General features: G+C 46.9%; 1 long non-coding RNA gene across 1 annotated transcript, besides 1 other annotated feature; it reads right to left on the reverse strand.

Annotated features, from left to right (window-relative positions):
- Nucleotides 14164-14794: an enhancer, noted in NCBI's record as "OCT4-NANOG-H3K27ac-H3K4me1 hESC enhancer chr6:44510389-44511019 (GRCh37/hg19 assembly coordinates)". NCBI's record gives its function as "activates a minimal SCP1, AML or CMV promoter by ChIP-STARR-seq in primed H9 embryonic stem cells {active_cell/tissue: H9 hESC(primed)}" and the evidence as "EXISTENCE:reporter gene assay evidence [ECO:0000049][PMID:30033119]".
- On the reverse strand, nt 17673-23393 carry LOC105375075 (uncharacterized). Its single transcript, NR_134609.1, has 2 exons — nt 22942-23393; nt 17673-17968 (listed from the first exon to the last, which is right to left on the reverse strand). It is a non-coding gene; the product is annotated as an uncharacterized LOC105375075 (long non-coding RNA).
- Nucleotides 23394-25613: the final 2220 nt, after the last annotated feature.

Consider the following 25613-nt stretch of genomic DNA (forward strand, 5'->3'; position numbering starts at 1 on the left):
CACCCATCTCAAAATCCTTGTCTCAGGGTCTGTCCCGAGGAGAATTCAGCCCAAGTCAATATCTTAATCCCATTATCCATAGGATCAAGACCCAAATCTTTTGCCTGCCACATCTCAAATTAGACCCAGACTCCATTATCAGTTCAGGGCCTGCTTCGGGTTTTCTTGCAAGGGAAAACCAGCTAAGAATCATTTGCTCTCATTTTTTCTCTGACCACTGGCATGGTCATTAGTACTGGGTCCCCACTAGCCGCATGCCCATCTGTTACCATCTGCCTTGCCCCCCAATGTGCAATCTTATTTCTTTGTTCCCTGCTGTGAGCTTCTCTGTCTTCCTGGAACAACTTCATCCTGTCTTCCCCTCCCCTGGGCAAGCACATCCCACAACACCCAGCATGGTCAGTAGCTCTTCTGAGAAGCCATCCTCAGCTGCTCTGCTCAGAGCTGGAGATGCCCCTTCATCCCCCTAGGATGCATTACACTTGCCTCTGCTAGAGCCCTCGCTACATGGCTGGCCATGGAGACATGCATCTTCTGTACCTGGTGTGTGAATGAAAAAAGGGTCTGTCCCACCTTGACCAAGAGCTTCTGAGGGACAGGGCAGTTCCCTAATTCTTTACACTCCCTGAAGGCACCTGTTCAACCAGGGCAGATGGGGTCCAGAAGATTCCCATCAGTAACTGAGCCTTCCCTCGACAAAGAGGAGGTGGGGTAAAGCTGGTTTTGTGGGGAGGCAGGCTCTAGAGGATGAGGATCAGAACAGAGCAGGAGGGTGGGGGTGGAGGGAAAAAGAAACAGAAAAACGTGCAAGTCATAAAGCAGCAGGGAGCCCTGCAAGTCATTAGATAATTAATCAAAGTGAAAAATCAGAAAGCCAGCCTTGGCTGCCATTATGGGGTTGCAGCTGTTTTTGGAGTTTGATTGAATAAAATCTTTATGAAGTTCACGTTTTGTCTCTAATTTCCTCCCTTGTTCTCTCCCATTCTGGGGCCTCATGTTCCCTGACTCCCAGATGTGGTGATAGGTGGTGGCAGGCAGCTGCCCTCCTCCACCCCCCACCCCCACCCGCCTCCCGCCCAGTCCCGGCTTGTCTTGGCCCCTCTCTGCCCTGGCTCCGGTTCAGCTTTCTCGGAGATCTGAATACCCAAGCCCATGCCTCTTCCCATCTTTGCACCCTTTTGGGCTACAGACCAAGTCAGGAAGGGATCTCCTGGAGGCTGACTATTCTCCTACAGAACGGAATGCATTGTGGAGCCCTCCAGATGCTGGCCCCTGCCCCAGGGTGTGAGAGTGGGCTGGGGTCCAGATGGGTGGAACGGGGCATGATAGGTACGGTCAGGCAAGGAGGTTGGCTACTCAGTGTGTACATTGTCAAACAAACTCATCTTTGCTTTACAGGGGACTCAGTTTCTTCATTGGTAGCCTTGATTGACAAAGACCCATTATATGGAGAGTAAAGAAATAAAGGCATTGAGCATTTCCTGAGTTCCAGGGACTTTTGCCTATATGATTGAGTGCTTCTCACCACAGTGCTGCAAGGAAGGCATTTACTGAGGAAGGAGAGAATGTAGAATTGAAGAGCTTACGAGATGTCAAAGTTTGCAGAATGATTCAAAGAGGCAAGGCCAGAGCTCCCAACCAGGCTTCTTGTTTCTAAAATCTGCCAATCAATATAACTCTGAAATATTGAAATACGGCCCCAACCCCAACCCCACCCCACTGCTGTTGTAGGGGAGAAAAGCAGTGTATTTTCCTTACCCATTGCAAGGTTCATGGCTGAGACCCCGTAACAAAAGACAGATTAACAATAGAAAAGTGCTTTTAGAAAAAGCCCAATGTAGAAAAAGGTCCTATTGCCCTTTATACACTGGTCACCCACTGGACTCGGCTCTGTGGACCTGGGGCCACTTCTTGTTCAGCTGCCGATGCAGGAGTGGCGTCAGAGGATGTGCTTTCTACCTTGGACCCCACACGCAATGGAAAACACTGCCACCTCTTTGTGGAAAGTTGTTGCAGGTTGGCTTCCCTGGGAAGCAGACTCTGAGAGGGAGTTTGTGTGCTAAGGATGCTGGGTGCCTGGGGAAGGGGAGAGGGAGCAGGCATGGGCAGAGAGAGAAGCCAAGCTGCAGGGCAGGCCAGTGGCAGCCCTGGCCCCACGGGGAGCTCTGGAGCTAGCATGGCCCATTTACAGTGGACCTGCTTTTGACCCAGGTGGCTCTTCCAAGTCCCCCAGTCTTGCTTAATCACTGGATGTGGGCTGGCCGGGAAAGGACATGGCCTTGAGGGAGATTGCTGTCTACAGCTGAGTCAATGGCTGAGGGGCCAACAGCTGGGATTGTCTGCTGCTAACACTGCCCGCAGCTGCAGAAGCAAGTCTTTCCTTGAAGGGGGATCTGGGTGGTGCATGGCCACAGAAGGGGTCCCAGTACCCCCAGGAGTATAGCTGCTCTCTCCTGGGCTCATCTCATCCTGGGCTCATCTTTCCTGGGCTTTGTACGTGCTTGTATTAAAGCATTGATGGTGTAAAGTGGTGGTTATTGGGCCTGCCGGCCATCATCACTAGGACAGAGGCTGTGATGACACGCTCATATGGCTGTCTCTAGCATGGGGCTCAGAAGGGGGTCTGTAGACCCACATATGGTCTGCTCAGGTGCCCTGCAGCTCTGCAATGTGTGCCATGAACCTGCCTTGTGAAGCCACTGAGCTGCTCCCACATACCCCTGGACCCCAGCTCCTTTTTAGGGGCCTGCCCAGTGTAGAGCTGGCCCCTCCCCACTACACCTTTGGGGTACCCACATTTTGCTTGCCTCTATTTTGGCTCCCAACTCTGCAATTTCAAGGTTATTTTCCTTTCTGGGGCTCTTTGGCTGGTGCTTGGATCCCAGGGACCGCTTCCTGGATTCTGGGAGTGATATGGGGAAGGAGAGAAGGGGGTTGCTTGTGGGCACCAATAGTGGTGCCAGCTCACAGAAGGCTGGAGTGGTGGTCCTGAGGCTTGGGGCTCGGCCTTCATCAGAGGTTTCACTCTGCAGGGAAGCAGCTGTAGACAAAGAAGCCTTGTTCTTGGGGGACTCAGCAGGGAGGCAAAGGGTCCTTTCACAGCGTCTTCATCCCTGCCAGGGAAAGCCGGGGCTGGCTGCCATGTGGAATGCATTTGCTCCTGAAAACCACAGTGAGAGCCATGGCAGTGTGGGTTGGTCAGGGCTGCCTCCTCGAGAGGCCTGGGTCTTTGTGGGGCAGCCATAGAGTACAGGGTGCCGACAGGAGCAGCCTGGGTCAGGGGGAGCCCCCAGATTGACCTGCCCCCCGCACACCAGAGGAGCCCTGGGGTGGGAGTTCTGGACCCGGCCTACCTGGGCAAGTCTCAAGGCCTCCACAGCCATCCGTTTCCTCCTCCTTCCCTGCCCACCTGGCTGTCATGGGAGGCTTAGTCATGCACTTGCCTCAATGTCCTCTGTGGGTCTCTGTTTCCCGGGCTGGTTCCTGATTTGCCTTGACTGTTCTCCTCTCTCTTCTGGACTGTGTATCACTCACCTTTGAATCCTCAGGGCTGGAAAGCAGAGGCTATGTCCATCTGTTTCTCCCAGTCTCTGTCCCACAAGCTTCCCATGCCCATTTCTATCTTTGTGATTTCTTCCATAGATTTTACGCCTTCTGCTTTCTCTCTCTTTCCCATACCCATCCAAAGTTTGTCCCTCAAGCTGTCACTTGAATGCCACCTCCTGAGTGAAATTCACCTCGACTGCTCCAGCCGCCTGTGCTAGTTAGTACTCCAGTAGGGCAGAGCACACGATTTGCTTTTGTTTCAAGGCATGCTCATCCTTTTGCTCAGGAATCTTAACTCTTCATGGCAAGAATAACATGATAATGAAGATAGTAATAGCTAGCTGAGGCTCTGAGATGTTAAGTAACTTGCCTAAGGTCACACAGCCACAAAGTGGCAGAGCTGAGGCTGGATGGGAGCTGCCTGGCTCTGAAGACTGTATTGACATTTGCTGTGCTTTCTCCCTGGGTCGCTGGTACTCCATTATGGCCTTGATAGAAACCACCCTTCAGGTTGTTTAGGTTGGAGAGTTGGTGTGAAGGCAGATGAGGGCTCCTAGGAGGCAGGCAAAGGGGGGACTTGTGGCCAAACCTCAGTTTCTCATGCCGAGGAGACATTGGTACTAGGACTCTGAGGTCAGACCCACACTTAAAAAATTGTTGCTTACTTCCCTTTAGTTCTACATCCCAAGAACTTGCTTCATTTCTTGCTCTCAGTGCAGGAGCTCCTCTCGCTGTCTCTAGCAACTTACGCTTCCTGTGAAACCTCATCCAGGTAAGTTTTCACTTCACACTGCAAAGAATAATAGTGGGGGGTTATTTTTATAGAAAAAACTCCTCAAAGCTGAGCAGTCTTCCACTCCTGGGCAGACAGCAGGAGGCTGCAGGGCAGCAGTGCCTGGAGGAGCTGGAAAACGTTCACTCCATGTATAGATTTCCACTCACCCCTGACTACCACCACTTGCGGGGGTGAGTTTCAATATTCCCTGGTCATCTGAATCCACTTATGTGTCTTTAATCACAGGGGCCTGGGTGTCTTTGAGTCCTTCCTGCTCAGCCTCTCCAGGAATTTGGCACATAGGAATTCTTGGGACTCTCCTACCCTTTTGGAGAGATTCGACTCAAACTGCCTTCACAGAGCCTTCCATTTATTCCTCACTGGGGCAAGGAGGGAAGTGAGGTCTCTCAGCACCTACTATGTGCCAAGCATGTTGCTGGGTGCCTTGAGATCATAAATTACAATTCTTACATTTTCTGCAACACATTGGTTTGTCAGAAGCAGATGCTGAGATGGAGTTTGGAGCAGAGATGTTTATTAGAGGTTAACACTAGGGCAGGAGTGGGGATGGGGGAGGAAGCAGGATATGCAGAGAAGACATTGAACTGTGACACAAGCTCTACAAAGCTTTGATCATCCCTGAGAGGAGTGTAGAGCAAGAATTGCCCATCAGTGTCCGGTATTGGGCTGGAATGGCTTGGGCCTATATATCCCCATCTGGCTTTGTAGCTGGATGCAGGTTGTCCTGGGAAGGAAGTGGCCTTAGGAGTGGTACAGCTCTGTTGCTGAGCCAGATCCTGAAGGAGCCAACACCTGGGGGCTGTCTGCTGACTGCAGCCCCAGAACTGGGGGCTGTAATGGGTCCTGGAAGGGGAATCTAGGAAGTGCATCTTTGTGTCTACAATATACGAAGTGGTCTTCCTATCCTTATTTTACTGATGAGGCTCATAGAGAGTATGGCACTGCCTGTGGCCACACAGCTAGTAAATAGCAGAGTCTGGATTTGAACCCAGGCCTGCCTGAAGTCAAACCTCATGCTTTTTCTGTGAAACAGAACCATGGACCTCGGGGAGGAATAAGGAGCATGTAGTGATGTATAACATTTGTTTCTAGGGTTGTTCATCAGTGTTTGTTGTGCAACTGGGGGGAGAAAATTGGTTCTAATAAGCAGATAACAGGTAGTAAAGGACAATGTGTTAACCCCAGGTGCCTAGGAAAAAGCTTTGTAACTCCAGAGGCACGGAGGAGGTAGGCACTACATTCATCTTTGCAATGTGCCTGTGATTTGCCTGCATGGAGGAAAGGAAAAAGTACTCTAGATAGCAGGTACAGCCTCAGCAAAGGGATGGAAGTTGGAATTGACAGAGGCTGGACAAGGGAAAGTGGGCAGAGGGACCTGGTTTGACGGGAGCAGTGCAGCCAAATAAATGAAATGGTACTGGGACTATGAAATCCAGTTTCATTCTGCTCACCTCCACAAGCTTTTCCGGAGCATCTACTATGTGCCAGGCAGCTGTCAGTCCAGAGGAGCCCTGAGCATGCACACAGTGGGCCAGAGAGTGCTCTTCATCCCCGTGCCGAGAAGACCTCAATCATCGCTCTGTCCTCTAGGCTTTGTAACTGGAGCCAGAAAGTCCAAGCCAGTCCTAGGGATGTGCCCCCGCCTGCAGGGGCCACTGCAGAAGAAATGCTGAGGTCAGCCCTGCCTGAATCTAAACCTCCTGGGATTGGGATGAGTCAGGGAGAGGCCCTGCTAGGGATGTAGGAGGAGGGCCACTTAGCTTCTCTACCTGCCATGGTGAAGGTAAAGCTGCTAATGCCACCCTTTGGGTCCCTGGGGAGGACAGAGTGAGGCTGAAATTAGTCCTCAAACATCCTAGGAGTCCTCAGGGTGAGGCCTGGGGGACCAGCCTACTTGGGGGTGAGGAGGCGGGAGAGTGGGTGCAGGGGACAGTGCTCCCTCCGGCAGCTTCCCAGTGGTGGGATTTCATGCACCTGTAAAACAACAACAAAAATAAAGAAAAAGCAAATGCACATCTTGATTCGGCCTAAGAGCTGCCTGGTAAAAACATTAGGAAAAAACCCCCCACTGTTATGGGTTGAATTATATCCCCCTAAAAAGATATGTTGAAGTCTTAAATCCTGGTGCCTGTGAATGTGACCTTCCTTGGAAATAGGGTTGTTGTGGATGTAATTGGTTAAGATGAGGCCATGCTGGAGCAGAGTGGACCCCCTGATCCAATATGACTGGTGTCCTTGTGAAAAGGGAACATTTGGGCACAGAGGAAAGATGAGGTGAAGACATAGACACCGGGGAGAAGGCCGTGTGAAGACGGAGGCAGAGGCTGGCATGCTGCAGCTGTAAGCCAAAGAATGCCAAAAATTTCTTGCCCCCATCAGAAACTAGGAAGAGACAGGAAGGATTAGCAGGAGGATGGCCCTACCCACACCCTGATCTTGGACTTCTGGTTTCCCAAACTGTGAGACAATAAATGTTGGTTGTTTTAAGCCAGTTTGGGGTACTTCGTTATCGCAGCCACAGGAAGCTAATACACTTGTCATCAATTTCACCCTTATTTAAGGATATTCTAACTCCCAAGGTAGCGATGACAATTTCAGGACACCCTTCAAGTTGAAAGCATTTCACTTTATGAAAAATCTACTCTGGGGACCTATTTCTCTCCACTCAACTTGGACCAATGAAAATGCCATCTCAGACCAGCCCCCATTCCCACACTGCTGTAGCTGAAGGAAATGGGGGAGGGCATCAGCCACTGTGGTCCTCGTGGGTTCTTGCCCTTTCTGGGCCTTCGTGTCCATGGGGGTTGGACTGTGAAATTCCTTGGGCCCCTCTCTCATCCGAGGCAGGGGGATCTGTAGGTGGAAAGCCGTGTGAGGGCTCAGGTATCAGTGAAGCATTTCTTAGTTACTTCTCACCCCGGAAAACGCATATCCAGAGCTGTGGGATGTCCACAGATTTGTGAAGGGGAAATTGGCCATATTGAGGGCAGCATGAATAATGCTTGTATCCATAAGACACTCAGAGGGCGCTCAGTGAGCACTGGGGAGGCAGAGATGATGAAGACTCCCATCTTCCAGGGCCTAGGAGAGAATGACCACTTTGGACTAGGATGAAAGGATAGGTTTTGTGATTGAGTGCTAGGATACACACCTGAAGAGCATCCATACTGGTGGCCCATGAGCACGCCTTGATCCGTGGTACTGTTGCCTGTGCAGTTTTCAGCTTTTAGAGCTACCTTCTCAACGTATCTTCTATGGGACATGTGTTCATTGTGATGTTAATGGAAGTTAGGTGGAAACATGACTTAGTGGTAAATTATACCTGAGAAAGATTGTGTCAAATGGCCATAAACAGATTTCTCTCCTGCAGGACTTCTCAGAGCCTTTAATATGCTAAAAGGTATTGTCAGAATGCAGCCTTTCTAAAATTCAACTGGCAATGGAATTTTTTTTCTCTTAAATATGGCGTATCTCCTGGGATTATTTTCTGGAGATTAATCTTTGGAGACCATTCTTCTAGAAACTAGGTTTCTGGCCAGGCACGGTGGCTCACGCCTGTAATCCCAGCACTTTGGGAGGCCGAGGCGGGCGGATCACGAGGTCAGGAGATCGAGACCATCCTGGCTAACATGGTGAAACCTCGTCTCTACTAAAAATATAAAAAAATTAGCCTGGCATTTTGGCACATGCCTGTAGTCCCAGCTACTCGGGAGGCTGAGGCAGGAGAATTGCTTAAACCTGGGAGGTGGAAGTTGCAGTGAGCTGAGATACCACTGCACTCCAGCCTGGGCGACAGAGCGAGACTCCATCTTAAAATAAAAAAAAAAAAAGAAACTAGGGTTCTGAAGTTTTCTAGGCGGTACCTAGTACCCTGTGCAACTTCATACTTAACCTTTCTTGCTGAATGCAGAATGATGTCAGAGTTGATGGTGATGATGGTAAGATGAGGTCATGATTGTGGCGGTGACACTGGTGATGAGAACATTGGTAATGAGGGTGGGTAGCTTCTTTTAACTTTAGTAATCCCCAAGAAGAAAGAGCTCCCTTTCTTCTTAGAAAGCAGACAGGCCTTCGGTATATCCGTGACATTATTAGGCTTTAGAGAGTTAATGACCTGGGCTGGCAGCAAAGAGATGGTGCCTAAAAAGTCAGGAATGTACCACTTAGGGAGGTCTGTAGGCCCAGGACTAATAAGACCTTAGCAACATGGGAGACCCACTAGGAGTGTGCACCCTTGTGTCCTGGAGCCTCTGTGGACACAAATGCAATAAAAAACATAAGATTTTCATCCCCGGGATTCCAGGAATGGTGAGTGGGTGGGTAGTGTTGTGAAGGTTGGTGGATTCATTCAGAAATGAGGCTGAAACACGTGTGGCTGCTTCTGAGCACATGAGTCCCCTCCATTCTCAGCTCAGCCATGCTGGAGAAGGCCAGATGATTTACAATATGGTTAGGCTTTGTGTCCCCACCCAAATCTCATCTTGAATTATAATCCCCATAATCCCCATGTGTCAAGGGAGAGACCAGGTGGAGGTAATTGAATCATGGAAACAGTTTGCCCCATGCTGTTCTCACGATAGGGAGTGAGTTCTCACGAGATCTGATGGTTTTATAAAGGGCTCTTTACCACTTTGCGCAGCACTTCTCCTTCCTGCTGCCTCGTGAAGAAGGTATCTTGCTTCCTCTTCGCCTTCCCCCATGATTGTAAGTCTCCTGAGGCCTCCCCAGCCGTGCTGAACTGTGAGTCAATTGAACCTCTTTCCTTTATAAATTACCCAGTCTTGGTCAGTTCATGATAGCAGTATGAAAACAGACTAATACAATTTACTACCCTCCAAAATGACTCAGAGAGTTGTGAAGGCTGCAGTAAAGTAGCTGGTGGAGGTTTTGATGGTGGAGGAATGGTACTGAGGTAGGAGAACAGGGAATTGAGGTGATCAGGGGTTGAGGCGTGAGCAAGGGAACAGCAGGTGCAGCCAGTTTGTATAGGCAGGAGAGCAGCAGGTGCAGCACATAGGCCACATCCTTGCTTCCATGATAACAAGTCACGTCAGCCTCTGATTGGTCACAGGACAATCCTTCATGGGGTGTGGCCAGTTGGAGGGCTTTGAGGAGCGCCAAAGGGTGTTGCTGGATTCTTTTTAGCTTAATAAAAACCCTGATTGAAGAGGCTATTGAGCCCGCTCCCACTCTGTGAATTGTCTTCAATAAATCTGTGTTTTTGTTACTCCATCTCATTGCTGACAGGGGCTGACAGTAAGGATGATAACGGAGGTGGCAGGTTATGGTGAAGGCTAGGACAATGCTGATGGTGACAAGGGTTGTAACGGGGGTGACAGCACAATGGTGGCAGGTGTACGATATGTGATGTGGCAGTGGTGGGGACGTCCCAAGTTGAGCTACTGGCAACCACAATAGGGAATCATGGTGAGCACGGGGCACCAATAAGATTCCACAGTGACTCCCTGTCTTCACAGGCAGGGCAGGCTCTGGGAGGTGAAAACCAGCCTGAGAGGAATGAGACCTTGCCTTAGGAGGCATTTAGTTGTCTTCTGTGTAGAAAGGTAGCCCTTCACTTTCCTCATAAATCAGCCCCATAAACTTTCCACTTTGCAATTTCAGGTAGTCAGCCCCATAAACCACTCCTGACTGGGAAACGGGGCTTGAACAAATAAATCACACTTATTATTTATGTCAGCAACAATGTCATCATTGCACAGGAGTCCAGACCTGGACCGACCTACCCAGGGGAAGTGGGCTGCTCACCTCAATATTGTTCAAGTCAAGCATGCCATGATTCAACACTGAATTTTTAGACAGAGGCCCTTATATCAAAGTGACATAATTTAATAGCACTCTTCACCCTCCCCGGAGTGGGCCTCAATGGGGATGGCAGACATATTGCTTTTCTGGGAGAGGGGGATGATTCTCAGAGGAGGCTTGTGCCCTTTCCCTGTGAGAAGACCACTGTCAGGTCTCCAACCTATAATTCACCTCGGTGCTGCCACTGACATGTTACTGTGTACACCAGCACAGCCTTTCTCCCCTCCTCCTGCACATGCAGGAAATACAAGCTCCTTCTCTTCAGCACGGCTTAGCCTGGGCCTGTGCCAGGGTGGCCCCTGGTCCCCTGAAGATGGTGAGACAGGTGATGGCTGCCTCTGGGTAGATTTTTAGCACCTTGTGTAACACATTCTGGCAAGGGCTGCCATTTCCTCATCTCAGGCTTGCTATTTGTGGGTCCTTGTTCCTTTAGCAGAATGCATGGTCCAGGCCTTGCCATCCTTTGTATGGATAGAGCTTTCACAATTGGCCACAACTTTCTTGGCACAAATCTGAATTCATGACAGCAGTTTAATTAAAGCCATCTCCCTGTGTTTCTTCATGTTGTTATGCAATGGGACAAAGTGATACTGGGGTTACCCTTTTTCTTTTCTGGGAGGATCCCCTCCCTTCCCCTCCCCTCCTCTCCCAGGAAAGTCTGAGCTAGTTAGCAGTGTATTAAAGTAGGCATCGCATTTGTAGATGTATCAGATATTTTTTCATGATCTTCAATACTGTCCGGCCCTTTAGAATTCCAATTAGTTGGGGGTATGGGGGAGAAGAGTCCTGTTAAGTCTAGAAATGAAAGTATTAGGAAAAAGCTCTGGTTTAGTAAATTAAAAGCTCTGGAATATATTAGAATCAGATATTTTTGGTTTGGAATATAAATGTATAATATATGGAGAATATGTTTTGGGTCATTTTAGGTATAATTGGGGAGGGCAGAGCCTGTGTATGTTTGGGACCATAGCACTAAGGGAATGTTCACAACAGTTTCAATGCCATGAAGAACAGGTGATGTACAAAGTACACCACATTTCCAGTGATTATAATCTGACTTTTGTTTTGAAATATTTTAAAACATAGTATACTGGGAGGTATACCATTACACCCCAAATGATTAACCAGCCTAAGGCAGTCATGCTAATTCCATCCCTCTTGCCAGAGATTGGCTTAATGCCAGGCAGGTATAAGCCAATCTGGGCCAATGAAAATCAAGGAGAGAGGCTTGCTCAGAGCTTCTGAGTAAGAGAGGCCCATCCCACCTGCCCTTCTCCCATCTTGCTGGATGTGAACACGAAAGCTGTGGTTCGAGGTGCTGTTGGCAGCCATGTTGGGGCCATGAGGGGAAACAGCATTAGGATGAACCCAGCACTGCAGCTGACAGAGCAGAGAAATGAAAAGAACCTGGGTTGAGTGGCTGAATCTACCAATTTTGATCCCTACTTCTGGACTTCCTGTTCTATGAAACAATAAATTTCACAATAATTTAAGCAAGTCTGGAGAAGGATTTCTGTTACCTAAAGGGGAAGCATCCTGACACAGCTATTTAATAATGGATAAGCATTTGTCATTACTAGCACTATTATAAATGCTAAGGGGAGATGAACAATAGAACACATAACATAGACAGTCCCGGCTCTTCAGAGTTCTCAGATGTTTATTGGAGAGGTGAGGTAACTACACAAAGCACAAATATGGGAGGGTTGGAGAACTCTTGTTATTAAAGGGCCAGATAGTCTTTGTTGTGACTACTCAGCTTGCCTGTTATAGCACAAAAGCAGTCATAGACAACAATAAACATGGGTGTGTTTCAATAAAACTTTATTTAGAAAAACAGATGCTTGGCCAAGTTTGGCATGTGGACAATAGTTTGCCAAAGCCTGCTCTAGGAGACATCTATAGGACTATCCTACAGACATCTAGGAGACATCTATAGAAAGGAGCCATCTATAGGGATTGGAGTCATGGGAGAATTCCTGGAGGATGTGCTGGACAGACAGAATGGAAATGAATCGGCTGCACTTCTGCATGTGTGCCTTAAAAGACCATGCTATTTCACTCTCTGATGTGATTGCAGGAAAAAAAAAAAGAGTGCATATCACAATCATACCTGACAGTCTTCCCAGAGATAAGCTAATTCTGCAGAACTTCTTCCCCCATTTCCCAGTAATCAGCCATGAAAAGATCAAATATCAGTAGGTCACATGCAGAAAGACTCCCTGCCAAGTCTGCCTCCTACCTGATGGGCCAAAGGCAAGTAGCAGGCAGCCCAAGGGTATATACGTCAGGCTCTTTATATTGGAGCATTGAGATCAAAGTGTCCAGGTACACCTGTGGGTCTTTCGTGAAGTGAGCTCTGGATTTTTCAAAAGCCGGAAGGTCTCCTGGGACTTACCTCCAGTGGGCCATGTCTTGGGGAGCTTGGGCCACAATGGCTAGCTGGGACAGCTGGTTCTTAAGGGTGACCTTGAGGATGGATAGGATTTGAATAAGAGGCAGGTGAGCACAGGTGGGTTAGAGCAATGCTGTCTTACCCCATTTGTGCCGCTGTAACAGAATACCACAGACTGGGTAACTTATAAAGAACAGAGTTTATTTCTCACAGTTCTAGAGGCTGGGAAGTCCAAGATCAAGGTTTTGGTATCTGGTGAGGGCTGCTCTGTCCTTTCAAGATGGCACTATGAATGCATATTCTAGCTTGGAGGAACATTGTTTCCTTATGTGGTGGAAGGCAGAAGGAAAGAGGACCAAGCTCCTTCTGTCAAGCTCTTTTACAAAGGAATTAATCTATTGGGACCTAAACATCTCTCAACACTGTTGCAATAGGGATTAAGTTTCCAACACATGAATTTTGGGGGACACATTCAGGCCATAGCAAATGTTATAAGCAGAGGCTTGGATGGGGACCCATCAAAGTTTATGAGGGGAAGTCTGATGGATGACGCCATTACAGGCAATGCTGGTGGCCTGTTCTCCCTTGACATCTTGAGACAAGAGCCCAAAGTTTAATTTGAGGAAGTATCTAGGACAATAATACCCGTCAGTACTGACCTACAGTCGTAGGGTCTGGGAGCTATTAAACAATGACATTGATGTAGTTTATAGGGCTTGGATGAGGAGGGTGACCCCACAAATCTACCTTTCCTAAATATGCAGCAAGAAGTATGATGAAAACACTGGTTAGCAGTAACCAGGGGAGAGGGGCAGTAAGTGGGAGGGAAGACCAAGGCCCAGGGAGAGAGGGAGGACCCTTTCACACTTCAAGAAGTAGGGCAGGGTGAGGGTCACATGGAGAGAAGGAGAGCTTCGAGGAGGCCAAGTTTTGCAGGGGAAGGAGTAGCATTTCTGAAATGGACAAAATTGTACCCAAGGGTGAGAACTGGCAAGCCCCTCACCCCTGCCCCCTAAAGGCTACCATTTAGGGGCTTAAACATTTCCATTCATGTTTTCTTACTTCCATGTATAAACACAGGCATACTTTGGAGAGAGGAGAAAAATAAACCAAACTGCTGAGTAATACCCTTTTGAAAAGAAATACATACTTTCAAAAAGGACCAAAACAACTTGTGGAAGCTTTGGAAGGGAGTTTTCTCATTTTTAAAAGCTCAAGGGTTTTGATGAAATTAGTGTTGTTTTCTCAGACTCCAAAACAGATTAACATATGGGCAGCTTCAGCTTGTGGCTCAGAGAGACAAAAGAAACCACAAAAATAGCTTTCTAATAATTGTCCCCAAATATGTCTGTCGAGCGCTGGTTAGTGCCAACTCCCCTTTGCTAATCAAAACTCGAGGCGGAGGCGCCGACTCCCCCGGCCGCCATTTGATGTCCCTCTGGTTACTGTATTTACTCTCCTTCTCACTCCCAATTTCTTCCCGAAGCTTTCATCTGTTCCAACGCCCTGCTCTGCCCGTCTCGGCCACCACCGCTGGGGTTTAAGGCAAACCTTGCATCTGGTTTCTCTTTGCTTCTTTTCGCCTTTGTCTTTGTTTACTTTCATGAGGAGGCAGACAGTTGCTTTATTAACCCCCTGCTTTGTTTTCTTTAGGTTTTTCAGTTGTTTTAATCTTCGCATCAACTATCCCAATCTGCTCCCTCACCTTCCACTCCACTGGGCTCTCTGTGACCTGGCACTCGGGTCTTGTTTCTTGCCAGTTGGGTCTAGTGGCCTTGTTGATTCGTCTTGGCTGCTGCTGCAAACTCGGCTGCGGCCCTCAGCGCTGTGTGGCTTCCAAGTTCTCATTGTGAAGGTCTTTTCTTCTTTGTGTTTCTCCATGCAGGGATATGGGATGTTTATAAACTTCAGGAGAGCTTACTTTTGAAAGGAGAGAATTGAATTTCCTGGGCTGCATGCTGAGATGTATTATCTGTGGAATTCCTGTTTGAATGACTGGCAGATTTCTGAGCAGTGGTGCTGTTTCCAACCTGGTCTGCTCGTCAAGCTGTGTACCCCCCTCTGTGTGTGCCTCTGTCTAGAGCAGAACCCAAATTGAGCCCAAACCACTTCATCTGTTCACCACCTTTCTCCCTGAAACCTTGTCCTTTAAACCTGATAAAGAAATAACGCAAAAGGTCGAAGCATGGAAAAAATGAAAATTCTCCACAATTCTTCACCAAGTTATTAAAATATTGCAGTTGTGTGATACAGATTAGGAATATTGATTGCTGGCTGGATGCAGTGGCTCACGCCTTTAATCCCAGCATTTTGAGAGGCCGAGGCGGGTGGGTCAGTTGAGGTCAGAAATTCAAGACCAGTCTGGCCAACATGGTGAAATTTCGTCTCTACTAAAAATACAAAGATTAGCCAGGCATGTGGCACATGCCTGTAAACCCAGCTACTCAGGAGGCTGAGGCAGGAGAATAGCTTGAACCTGGGAGGCAGAGGTTGCAGTGAGTCGAGATCGTGCCACTGCATTCCAGCCTGGGTGACAGAGACAGAGATTCCACCTCAAAACAACAACGAAACATTGATCGCTCTTAATCCTTACTACCAACCTTCTAAACTTTTGCTACTCAAAGTGTAGTTCCTGGACAGCAGCATCAGCATTTCCTGGGAACTGGTTGGAAATGCACATTTGGGCTGGGCATGGTGGCTCACAACTGTAATCATAGCACTTTGGGAGGCCAAGGTAGAAGGATTGCTTGAGCCCAGTTGTTTGAGATCAGCTTGGGCAACATAGCAAGACCCTGTGTCTACAAAAAGAAAAAAAAATTAGCCAGGCGTGGTGGTGCACACCTGTAGTCCTAGATACTCAGGAGGTTCAGGTGGGAGGATTGCTTGAGCCCGGGAGGTCAAGGCTGCAGTGAACCATGATCATACCATTGCACTCCAGCCTGGGCACCCGTGAGACTCTGTTTCAAATAAAATAAAATAAAATAAAATAAAATGCAGATTCAGGCCCCACCCCAGATCAACTGATTTAGAACTTGCATTTTATAAAGATCCCCAGGTGACTAGTGTGAACATTAAAGTTTGAGAAGTCTCGCTTTCATAACCTTTAAAAACATTTAATGAAGCATTATACCAAGAGAAAATCGGCCAAGTACTTAAACAATCTCATGGTCTAGCATGAAAACTGTGGTCAGAATATCTAGATTGTGCCTTTACTTACAGGTAAGTCATGGAGTTCACTTGGGTTCAGTTTTGGGATGACAAAAATGCCTCCCTCTTCACCTACCAGGGTTGATGCAAGAATTTTTGGTAGTGGTTAAGTGAAACAAATGGGTTAATGCATTCTGTGAAGCACCATAAAATGTTAGCTATTACAGTTTACACACTGCTTTATTCTAATTTTGGGGCATTTTAGTTTTTCCTTGCTAGAGCTAGCCAAATGCAGATATTAATTGTGAGAAGATACAGCAGTCACGGTGCATCAGGGACAGGACATGTCAGAAGACCTCATCTGTAAAGGGGGATAACTGTGAAAGGATAATCAACCTTGGGGCCCCCAAATCACTAAGCTAAAGGGAAAAGTCAAGCTGGAAACTGCTTAGGGCAAACCTGCCTCCCATTCTAGTCAAAGCCACCTCACTGCTCACTGAGATAAACACATAACTGACTGCCTCATTTGGAGAGGCTGACAAAAGAATGCAACTGTTTGTCTCTTATCTACCTTTGACCTGGAAGCCCCCTCCCCGCTTCGAGCAGTCCCATCTTCACCTCGAGTTGTCCCACCTTTCCAGACTGAACCAATGTACATCTTACACATATTGATTGATGTCTCCTGTCTCCCTAAATGTATAAAACCAAGCTGTGCCCCTACCACCTTGGACACATGTTGTCAGGACCGCCTGAGGCTGTGTCACGGGTGCGCATCCTCAACCTTGGCAAAATAAACTTTCTAAATTAACTGAAACCTGTCTCAGATATTTGGGGTTCACATAACAATAATCCCTACGTTAGGGGACATTTGCCTTGCTGGCCCAGGGCATGGGCACACAACCCAGGCTCAACTAAGCCTACTCTTCTGTCCAGGACTCTGAACCTGAGACACATGATACAGAGACATGAGGATGGTGGAGAATTTGTTTAGCAGCAGCAGTGGTGGCAGTGGTGGTGGCAGTGGCAGTTGTGGTGTTATGATTTAGAACCAGGTCTTGGCTTCCCCTGTCTCCTGCTCATTTTCTGAACACTCCCTGTCATTCTCTGAGATGCCCAATATCCTCTTAGTAAATTGCTTTTGTGCTGAAACCACCCAGAGTTGGTTTCTGTCACTACCAAGAAGCTGACTGGTAGCTCCACCCACCTTACCAGCTTGCCCTGAGGAATAAGGAGGCAAAGCATGCCAAGCCCTGGCACAGTGGATGGCACCTGGAAATGCCCCATTAGTAGCAGCAAAAGTGAACAATGCATCCACTTTTGTTTTAACTTGATAAAGCCTCATTCTTTCATCATTGAATTACAAATTGTGACTTCCACTAACTCCTGAGCAGCTGGTCATCTTTACATTTTCAAGGCGAGGAGCTCAGCCACCTGGATGTTCTTCCTCTGCTCTTGGTCAGAGGCCAGTTGTTGTCCTGGCCCTCTAAGGACAGCACTAAGATCCATCCCACTCTTCTTTCTGTCCGCAAAACCAAGGCAGACTGGCCCCCAGACTTCTCCCAACACTTCATCCAATTTGTCCATGAGCCAACGACTCCAAAGCTGTTCAGGACTATCTCTCCATTTCTTTCTTAACCTGTCAAGAGATGGGTTACCAGATTCCCTCTATTACCACTGATAAATTGAAAATAAAACACATTTCATCAAGGCCACAATTTCTTGCTTGTGGTCAAAGCTAACAAGAAGGATCCCACCAGGAACCTAGTAGGATAAATTACATAATTAATGTTATTCCTTAGTTTGCTGAAGTCGAAATCTGTCCCCAGTAGCCTTATTTCTCCTGCTTTATATCTTTCCTTCCAGGGCTGTACACTGGTGTTACCAGTCTTAGGAAGAGTGGAAATACCTTGTCATTATTTCTTTGAATCCAAGACATGCCTCCCTCCAGTAAAAAAGAGAACAAGATCACAGTATGGCATTTATTTATTTGTAAAATGGAGGCAAGTGAAAATTAATCTTGCATTGAAATCATCTGAGAATTCAGGTTGTCTTTTGAAACGTGACATCTTGACATTGAGAAACACTGCCTTAGAAACCTCCAAGTTATGTGAAAGCAACAGTTGCTTGGGTTCCTCATTTGATTCTTCTTTGTAAACTCACACCTTTATATGAAGACATTTATTTAATCTCTGACTTACTTTTCCTGAGTTCAACCTGTGCCTTGCTGAAGGAGAGCACAAAGAGTCTGAATCTCTTGCACCCTGCCATTTGCAAAATGGAAAAGTGTTAACACTCCCACCTTTTGCTGTTGCTTTTTCTTTCCCCTCTCATTAAAAATTTTTGTTTTAAAAACCTGAGCAACCTGTGCTCTAGAGAATCTCCTGTGCATCTGCACCAAGAGACCTACATCTGACAGCATATTGTTTAAAATAGCAAAAGACAGGAACCTCCAATATCCCTCAATAGGAGAGTGGACAAAACATGGAGGCATATCATTCTCCTGCCTCGGCCTTGCAAATTGCTGGTATTACAGATGATGATCTGATTCTTAAAGTGTTCATTGTGTAATTAAGCCTTTATAGTTTATACTTAATGTACATGCCAAATATAGAAAACAAAAGCTTAAAACACTTTAAAATAGTTTAAAAACTGAACAGCATTAAAGGCAGAGTCTATGTATCAGGTAAATGGGTGGTCAGTGTAAAATTCTTTCAATTTTGCTGTAGGTTTGATAATTTTCATAATAAAATGTTGCATTAAAAAACCCTGAATGGACCACAGTTACATTAAGAACTTTTTGAAAAAACTTGCCTATAATTCATTAACTCAACACAGCAACTATTTTGATCTTTTGAGCCCTTATCTCTATAAATACAGAATTTTCATGCATGTGCTCACAGAATATATAGTATTGTATGGCTTGCTTTTTTCACTTAACATTTTATTATCAACTCTTCCCCAACATTTATGCTTTTTTGGTGAGTGCATTCATGTTTGGGAATTCCTTCCATCCCAGGTAAGTGAAGGCATCCCCTTCCAACCTCAGTCATACTCCAAAAGCCAAAGATACTTTTAACTTGGTGTAAGATTCAACAAAGCTCTGACACACTGTTCCTTCTGAAGTTTTTGTAGGAGATGTTGTGTCTATCTGCCAACTACTGTTTCCTTGAGATAAAGTGAAGCTCTTTAAGACCAACTGGGCAAGTAACAGCATTCTCCACATCATGGTAGCATGCCTGTTATGTGTTAGGCCAGGGGTCCCCAACCCCACCACCCCACCCCCCACCCCCACCCCCACCATGGCAGGAACCAGGCCTCACAGCAGGTGGTGCATTACTGCCTGAGCTCCACGTCCTGTGAGATCAGCGGTGGCATTAGATTCTCATAGGAACGTGAACCTTATTGTGAACTGCGCGTGCGAGGGATCTAGGTTGCGCACTCCTTATGAGAATCTAATGCCTGGTGATCTGAGGTGGAAGAGCTTCATCCCCAAACCATCCCTCATCTTCCCCAGCAGTGGAAAAATTGTCTTCCATGAAACCAGTCCATCCTGCCAAAAAGATTGGGGACAGCTCTGTTAAGCAATGCCAGGGAAATCTCAGTCATTTCCTCCTTGACTTTTCTCCTTCAGCCTCCCTCTTATTACTGTATCTCACCACTGTCTCAAAAACCAGCCCAGGCTGGGTGTAGTGGCTCATGCCTGTAATCCCAGTATTTGGGGAGGCCAAGGCAGGAGGATCACTTGAGGTCAGGAGTTTGGATAGTAGCCTAAAGTAACATAGTGAGACCCTACCTCTATAAAAAAATTTTTTTTTAAATTAGCCAGATGTGATGGTGCATGCCTATAAGCCAGATGTGATGGTGCATGCCTATAGTCAGGAGATTGAGGTGGGAGGATTGCGTCAGCCCAGGAGTTCGAGGCTGCACTGAGCTATGATCAAGGCGCTGCACTCTAGTCTGGGTTTTTTTCCTGGTTATAAAAATTATTCATGGCCAAATACACAGAAATAAAAGTCATCTATCTTTTTATCACCCACAACTAGACTGCTGCTAGTAATTTAGTTTTTTAAAGAAATATATGCTTTTTAACAGTCTCCTTGCCTGAAGCCAAAGTGTTAAAAACAAGACCATTCTACTTGTTCAATTTCTACCCTATGCCTGCACATCCAGGGCTCAGATGAATTTAACATTAGTACCGGATGGCCCATGCTTTTTATCCATGTGGTAGCAGTAACAAGAAGTCTTCCCAGCTATCATTAAGAGATGATTTAAAATGTCGTCAAGTATATGAAAGGCTCCTCCTCCCAGAATAGCAAACAGCTGTTCATGATCTCCAGCGAGACTGGAGCCAAAGAAAGAGACTAAGTGACTGGGGCTCTGGGCAACTCCTGGCCCTAAACGAGGACAGCAGACAGTTCCTGGAGGGTTCTAGGTGAAACCCATGCCCCATGTCACTTGGACTGTCCATTTAGCTGAGACTGGGATATTTTGGCTTGAAACTAGAGAACAGTTTCCATTCTCTCTGACTTTTCAGGACGGCTTGCTTGGTGGTTTACAGTGGGAGGGTCAAGAGTTACCTAGTTCTCTGTAGGTCTTTAAAAGTCGCTTATGGAGTTTTCATCTGAAGGACTTAAGTGCGGCCTTATTGAAAGGCAGTGGGGTGGGTTTGTGGCGTCTGGGGGTTCTCTCCACACAGATTTACTTTGGTATTTCTGCCCTCAGCTTCCTTTCCCAGAATTCAGTGCTCCTCTGTTCAGCTTCTGATGGCCACCATCTTGCCTGCCAGTTGTCTAGTGCCTGCCATCTCTCCTGGAGGAGGCCTGGGTCTATTACTCCACCAGTTGGAGGAGTAAAAGAACCTCTGTCTTGGAGCAGTGTGGGTGTCTGTTTAGTTCATGAACCTTTATGAATACCTGACATGCACTCCACTCAGCACCAGGGATTTTGGGTGGTAGCTGACAGCATAAAAATCACAGACTGGGGAGCCTTGAGGCCATCATAGCAAACCTCCTGATATTATAGGTGAAGAAGAAAAGGCTAGAGAGGGCATGCCACTACCCCAAAGTCACAGCAAAAGAGAAATATAAGAAAGATGCTCCTCTAAATGATTTTACAGTCTCAATCCATATTGTGCACGTCTTGGTAGATCATACTACATACTCATTTGGAGCTGAAAGATTTTAGGAGATTATGAGAAAACTCAGGCTGGAAATGCATGTAAATAGAGACCCAAAGCCACCAAAACCCAAGCTAAAATGACTGCGTTAAGAAGGAATTCCATGTAAGGGAATATAGCAGGTGCTGTTGGTACCTGTTAATACTCCTTGTCCTTATTTCAATATGTGCTAAGAGCATTTTACCACTTTGTACTGAAAGCACTGACAACTGAGGGCCTGAAGGTTCTTTCTTAGCATGCCTGCACAGTGGATTGAAAATTCCCAGTTCATGACCAGGAGCAGCCCTCAGCCATTGATAGATGGGAGTTGGAGGATAAATACCCCAGCTTCCTTGCCCATAAGGTAGGTAATTCTGAGGTATGTTCTACACTGTCTCCCAGAATTCCCCTGTAAGGTTGAGCCCCTAGTTGTTAACCAGTTGCCCGCAGCGGTAACCTGCATATTGACACTTCCTTCATTGGCTTCATTTCCTTCGATGTCTCACTTCCTTGCTAGTGTTTACTGGGGTTGCCTCCCAAATAAATGATGCATTCTTGAATCCTTGCTCCAGGTTAGTCTTTGCAGGAACTCAAACTAAATCAGGAGGTATCACCACCAATTGACCTATTTGAGCATTTGCCCAAGACTGTGCCTCCACAGAGGGAAGGTTGTTAGCACACAGGACTCAATGTGAAAACCTACAGAAGATGGTTTGGGTGTCTATTTTGAGCCAAAACAAACAAAAACTGTGCAGGCACCCACACTCTTCCATGTATTTATAACCTCAACCAGTTGTCCTTGCAAAGAGGCAAGAATGGGTGGGTAAGGAAGCATTTACTGAGCACCTACTCCATGCCAGGCTGTGCTGCATACTCTATGTGCAATAGAATCTTATTAAATTCATAGATGAGCCTTGTGAAATACTCATTGTTAACCCCCATTTTACAAATGGGAGAAGTGAGGCTAAGCATCTTGCTGAACACTGCCAGTAAGTGGTAGAGCTCAGATTTGAATCCGGTGCTGTCTGATGCCAAATCTGGTGCTTTTCTGTGCTCTCATGCTGTACCCTGGAGCTTACAAATATGTGCATCAGCCATGGCCCTGGACTTGTGATGCCATGCTGCTGGCAGTGGCATTTGTAACCACATCAGCAGTCCATAAATGTGCCGTCTTCCCTCTCCCAAAACAAGTCCCCACGGCAATGATCCTGCATGTCTCCTTTCATACACACATGCCCCAGGCTGCCCTTTTGTGGCTCATTTTCCTTTTTGTTTCACTTAAACCTTATAGGTCACATGTGCAAATATTCCATAGCAGGAAATGAAGAAGGCTAGAGGCAAGGGGCCCCAAGCTCTCCTCAGGTTGGGGGACCCTGGTCATTAGCAAGCCTTTGGTGCCTCTAAACGTGCCTGTGGTGTGACCGTGTTTGTGCAGTGGGTTAATGTTGGCTGAGCTGGTCAGAGGGTAGGGTCAGTGGAAGAACCTGCAGAGTGCGGCTGAGCCTCAGCCACCCCAGCTCTCCCCACATCTCCCCTGCAGCCACATCTGCCTTGTTTTGTGGCAATGTCAGCTTTAGTCTCATTTCTCTTCAAGTTTCTTAAGGGCACTGGCTAAGTCTTCTTCAGTGTTGTGCCACCGAAGAATCTGGAACATTCTATTAGCAACAATAGACAACTGCTGAATGATACGGTTATAAATAATGACATCTAATGATGTGGTTATGTTCTAGAATCAAGCATCATGAGCATGAGCATTTTTAGACTAAACTTGAGGTTGCTATTTTTTTGACTGTTTGTTATGAAACTATTTAAACTAACAGAAAAGTATAATAAATACTTTTAAATATAATGAATAGCCTAACGAATGCCCATATACCCATCACCTAGACTTAGCAAACAGTATTTGCCATATCTGATGCAGCTCCCAGAACCCAGGTTTCTTATCTACTCTGATTACAATAATGATACCATCTTGTGGTACAGGGACATCTTGTCAAGCACATCACGGGGATTGTATACACAGAGGAACTACGTCTCAGGATCTTCAAAGTTGTCTTCACCCAATCCCTCTATACTTACTGAAGATCTGCTATGTGTCAGGCCTTGTGGAAGGTACCCAGTGACAAAGATGAGGAAGTCATGGTCCCCATCCTTGGGGCATTCACCTCCATTGGAGACTGGGAATAAACTTGTAAATAGACAATTGCATTGTGATGTGCCAAGCCCAACATTCCATTTTATAGTCCCATGGACCGAGAAGCTGAGAAGGCTGTCGTCTCATCTATAGAGAGCATTACTAGATCCAAGTTGGGGAATCATGGCAGGGACTGGAGCCCTGCGTTCTACCTTTGCTGTTACTTAGCTGTGTGACCCTTAGCAAGTCACTGGCCAGGTCTGGATCACAGTTTTCTCATCTGTACATGAAAAGGTCAGGCTGAAATATTTCAAAGGCCCCCATTCAGATCCAAGTTTCTGGAACTTTTTATGGTGAAGTATTTAACCCACCTCACCGCCTAACTCTGCTTTTTTGCCTGTAACCTCCATTCTGAGCCAGAGCCTGCAGGGGTTTCCAGCTCTGCCTAGGTTCCACGATGGGTTCTAATTCCACCCCCTTGGAACCTGTGCCAGGGCTAATTCTCCCAGTCAGGAATTCCTTCTGTGGAACTAACCCATGTCTCTATTGCTGCAGTTTCCATTAATTTCCTTTGACCCGTCCTCGGGGGGAAGCTCATGATTACTGATAATTCTAGTTAATCCTTTAACTAGGAAAAGGAAACTAACCATCTAATAGGCCGAATGAGGGAATGACTTGGCACACCATCTGCAAAATATAAACCTAAAATATTCCGGAGTGTTCTCTGGGAGGCCACAGCCATTAACGCCCCGAGAGCCGGCTACTGCAGATATTTGCTCCTCATGGTGGGCACACTTCTGAACTGAGCCAGGAATGGGCACAGGCAGGGCAGCCCATGCCGTTTCCCCCTCTCTGCATGTTTGTGGCATAACCATCACAACCATTTTACTTGCTAAGGCAGAACATCTCCAGCCCCGTAAAAAGCTTTCTGACATCTCTCTGAGCTGCTGGCTTCCCCATTTTCAGAAGATGCCATGGTTTATTAATTCTCTGCAGAAGCAATAAGAACTGGGTATTGGCTTAATTTGGGGCCAATTTATTGTTATGATAGAAAAATTGGGCTCTGTCTCCTCTTATTCAACACAAGGGCCTATAGTTCCCCCTTTAACCCCTCCTGTGCTGGGCTCTTCCTCCAATCCACTTCTACTTTTTTGTCTTTGGGATATTATTTAACCTCTCTGTGCCTCTGTTTCCTCAACTGGGATAATCATAGTACCTATTTCATAGAATTGTTTTGAGTAAATACTGAGTTACTGAGTTATTTTAGGGTCTCTCTCTCTCTCTACCAGAAACTTCAAATTGACACACTGTTTTAAAAAATCTGGGAATTTCACTTTCTAAAAATCCAGGTTTTCAGCTTCTCGTGAGTGACTGGGAACCACACTTACCCTATGTCCACACAACCACCTGGAGCCGAGTAGAGGTGGCTCCTGCTAAAAATGACATCTCATGTCTGTCCAGGTCCTGGTCCTCCATTCCACTCAGGGGCAGGGCCTTTCTTCATGTCCTGGTTGACCCAGAGGCCCCGAGTCTGTGGTCTGGGTTCCCCTGTTTCCTTAGGCTGAGCCAGTTGTAGCCACAGAACTCAATTCTCCTCCACACCCGAAGCTGCTCGGAAATGTCCTTCCAGCATTACCTGCACCAATGGTAATAGGCAGCTATGCTCACTGGGAAAGAAAATCTGAACAAGACAAATGGAACCTCTCCTGAGGCAAATCTACCCCAGTGGGTTGAAGATGGAATTGTAATTTGGAGACAGAAGAAAAGAAAAAAATAATAAACAGCAGCACGATTCCCATTTTCTCTGAATTCTGACATTGTTGAGTGCCAACTGGACAGGCGCCTCACGCGCATCCCATCTATGCCACACAATCATCCCAGTGAGGTGGGTGTCATGGTTCCTGTTTTATGGATGAGAAAAGTGAGGCTCAGAGAGGTTGAGTAACTTGTACAAAGTCACATACTTAGGAAGTGGCAAAGGCAGGCTAACCCCACCCTTGATTGTGAACTGGATTGGGTGAAAGTTCTTGCAGGGTGGGCCAGGGTGAAGGCCGCCCTGGTGGAACTCCTGAGGCAATGAGCGATCCTGCTGATGCCTGTAAATGGTGCCAGCAGCGCAGGAGATTCCTGCCCTGGGAGAAGAGGGGGAATCCAAGGGAAGCATGTGGGAGTGCTACTGGCATCTGGTGGGTAGAGGCCAGGGACACTGCTAAACATCCTACAACGAACAGGACAGCCCACAACAAAGTGCATAAGATGTCAGTGGTCCTGAGGCTGACAAACTGCCTTAAAGCCTTTTTTTTTTTTTTTCTAGACAGGGTCTTCCTCTATCACCCTGTCTGGAGTGCAGTGACACAATCACGGCTCACTGCAGCCGTGGGCTCCTTGGACTTCTGGGCTCAAGCGCTCTTCCCACCTCAGCCTCCTGAGTAGCTGGATCTATAGGCGTGAGCCAACGCACCTGGCTATCTCTTTTAATTTTAAGAGTCTGATTCTAAGATGGTTGAGGGGTCACCAGAAGACCCTTTTCTGGTCATGGCCTGAGCCTTCTCTTTGCTGTCACCAAGGCTCCCACAGAAAGGTGGATGTTGTCTGGAGGAGGATTTATGGACATACC

The sequence above is a fragment of the Homo sapiens genome, chromosome 6, assembly GCF_000001405.40.
Source record: "Homo sapiens chromosome 6, GRCh38.p14 Primary Assembly".
In the NCBI taxonomy this organism is placed as follows: domain Eukaryota; kingdom Metazoa; phylum Chordata; class Mammalia; order Primates; family Hominidae; genus Homo; species Homo sapiens.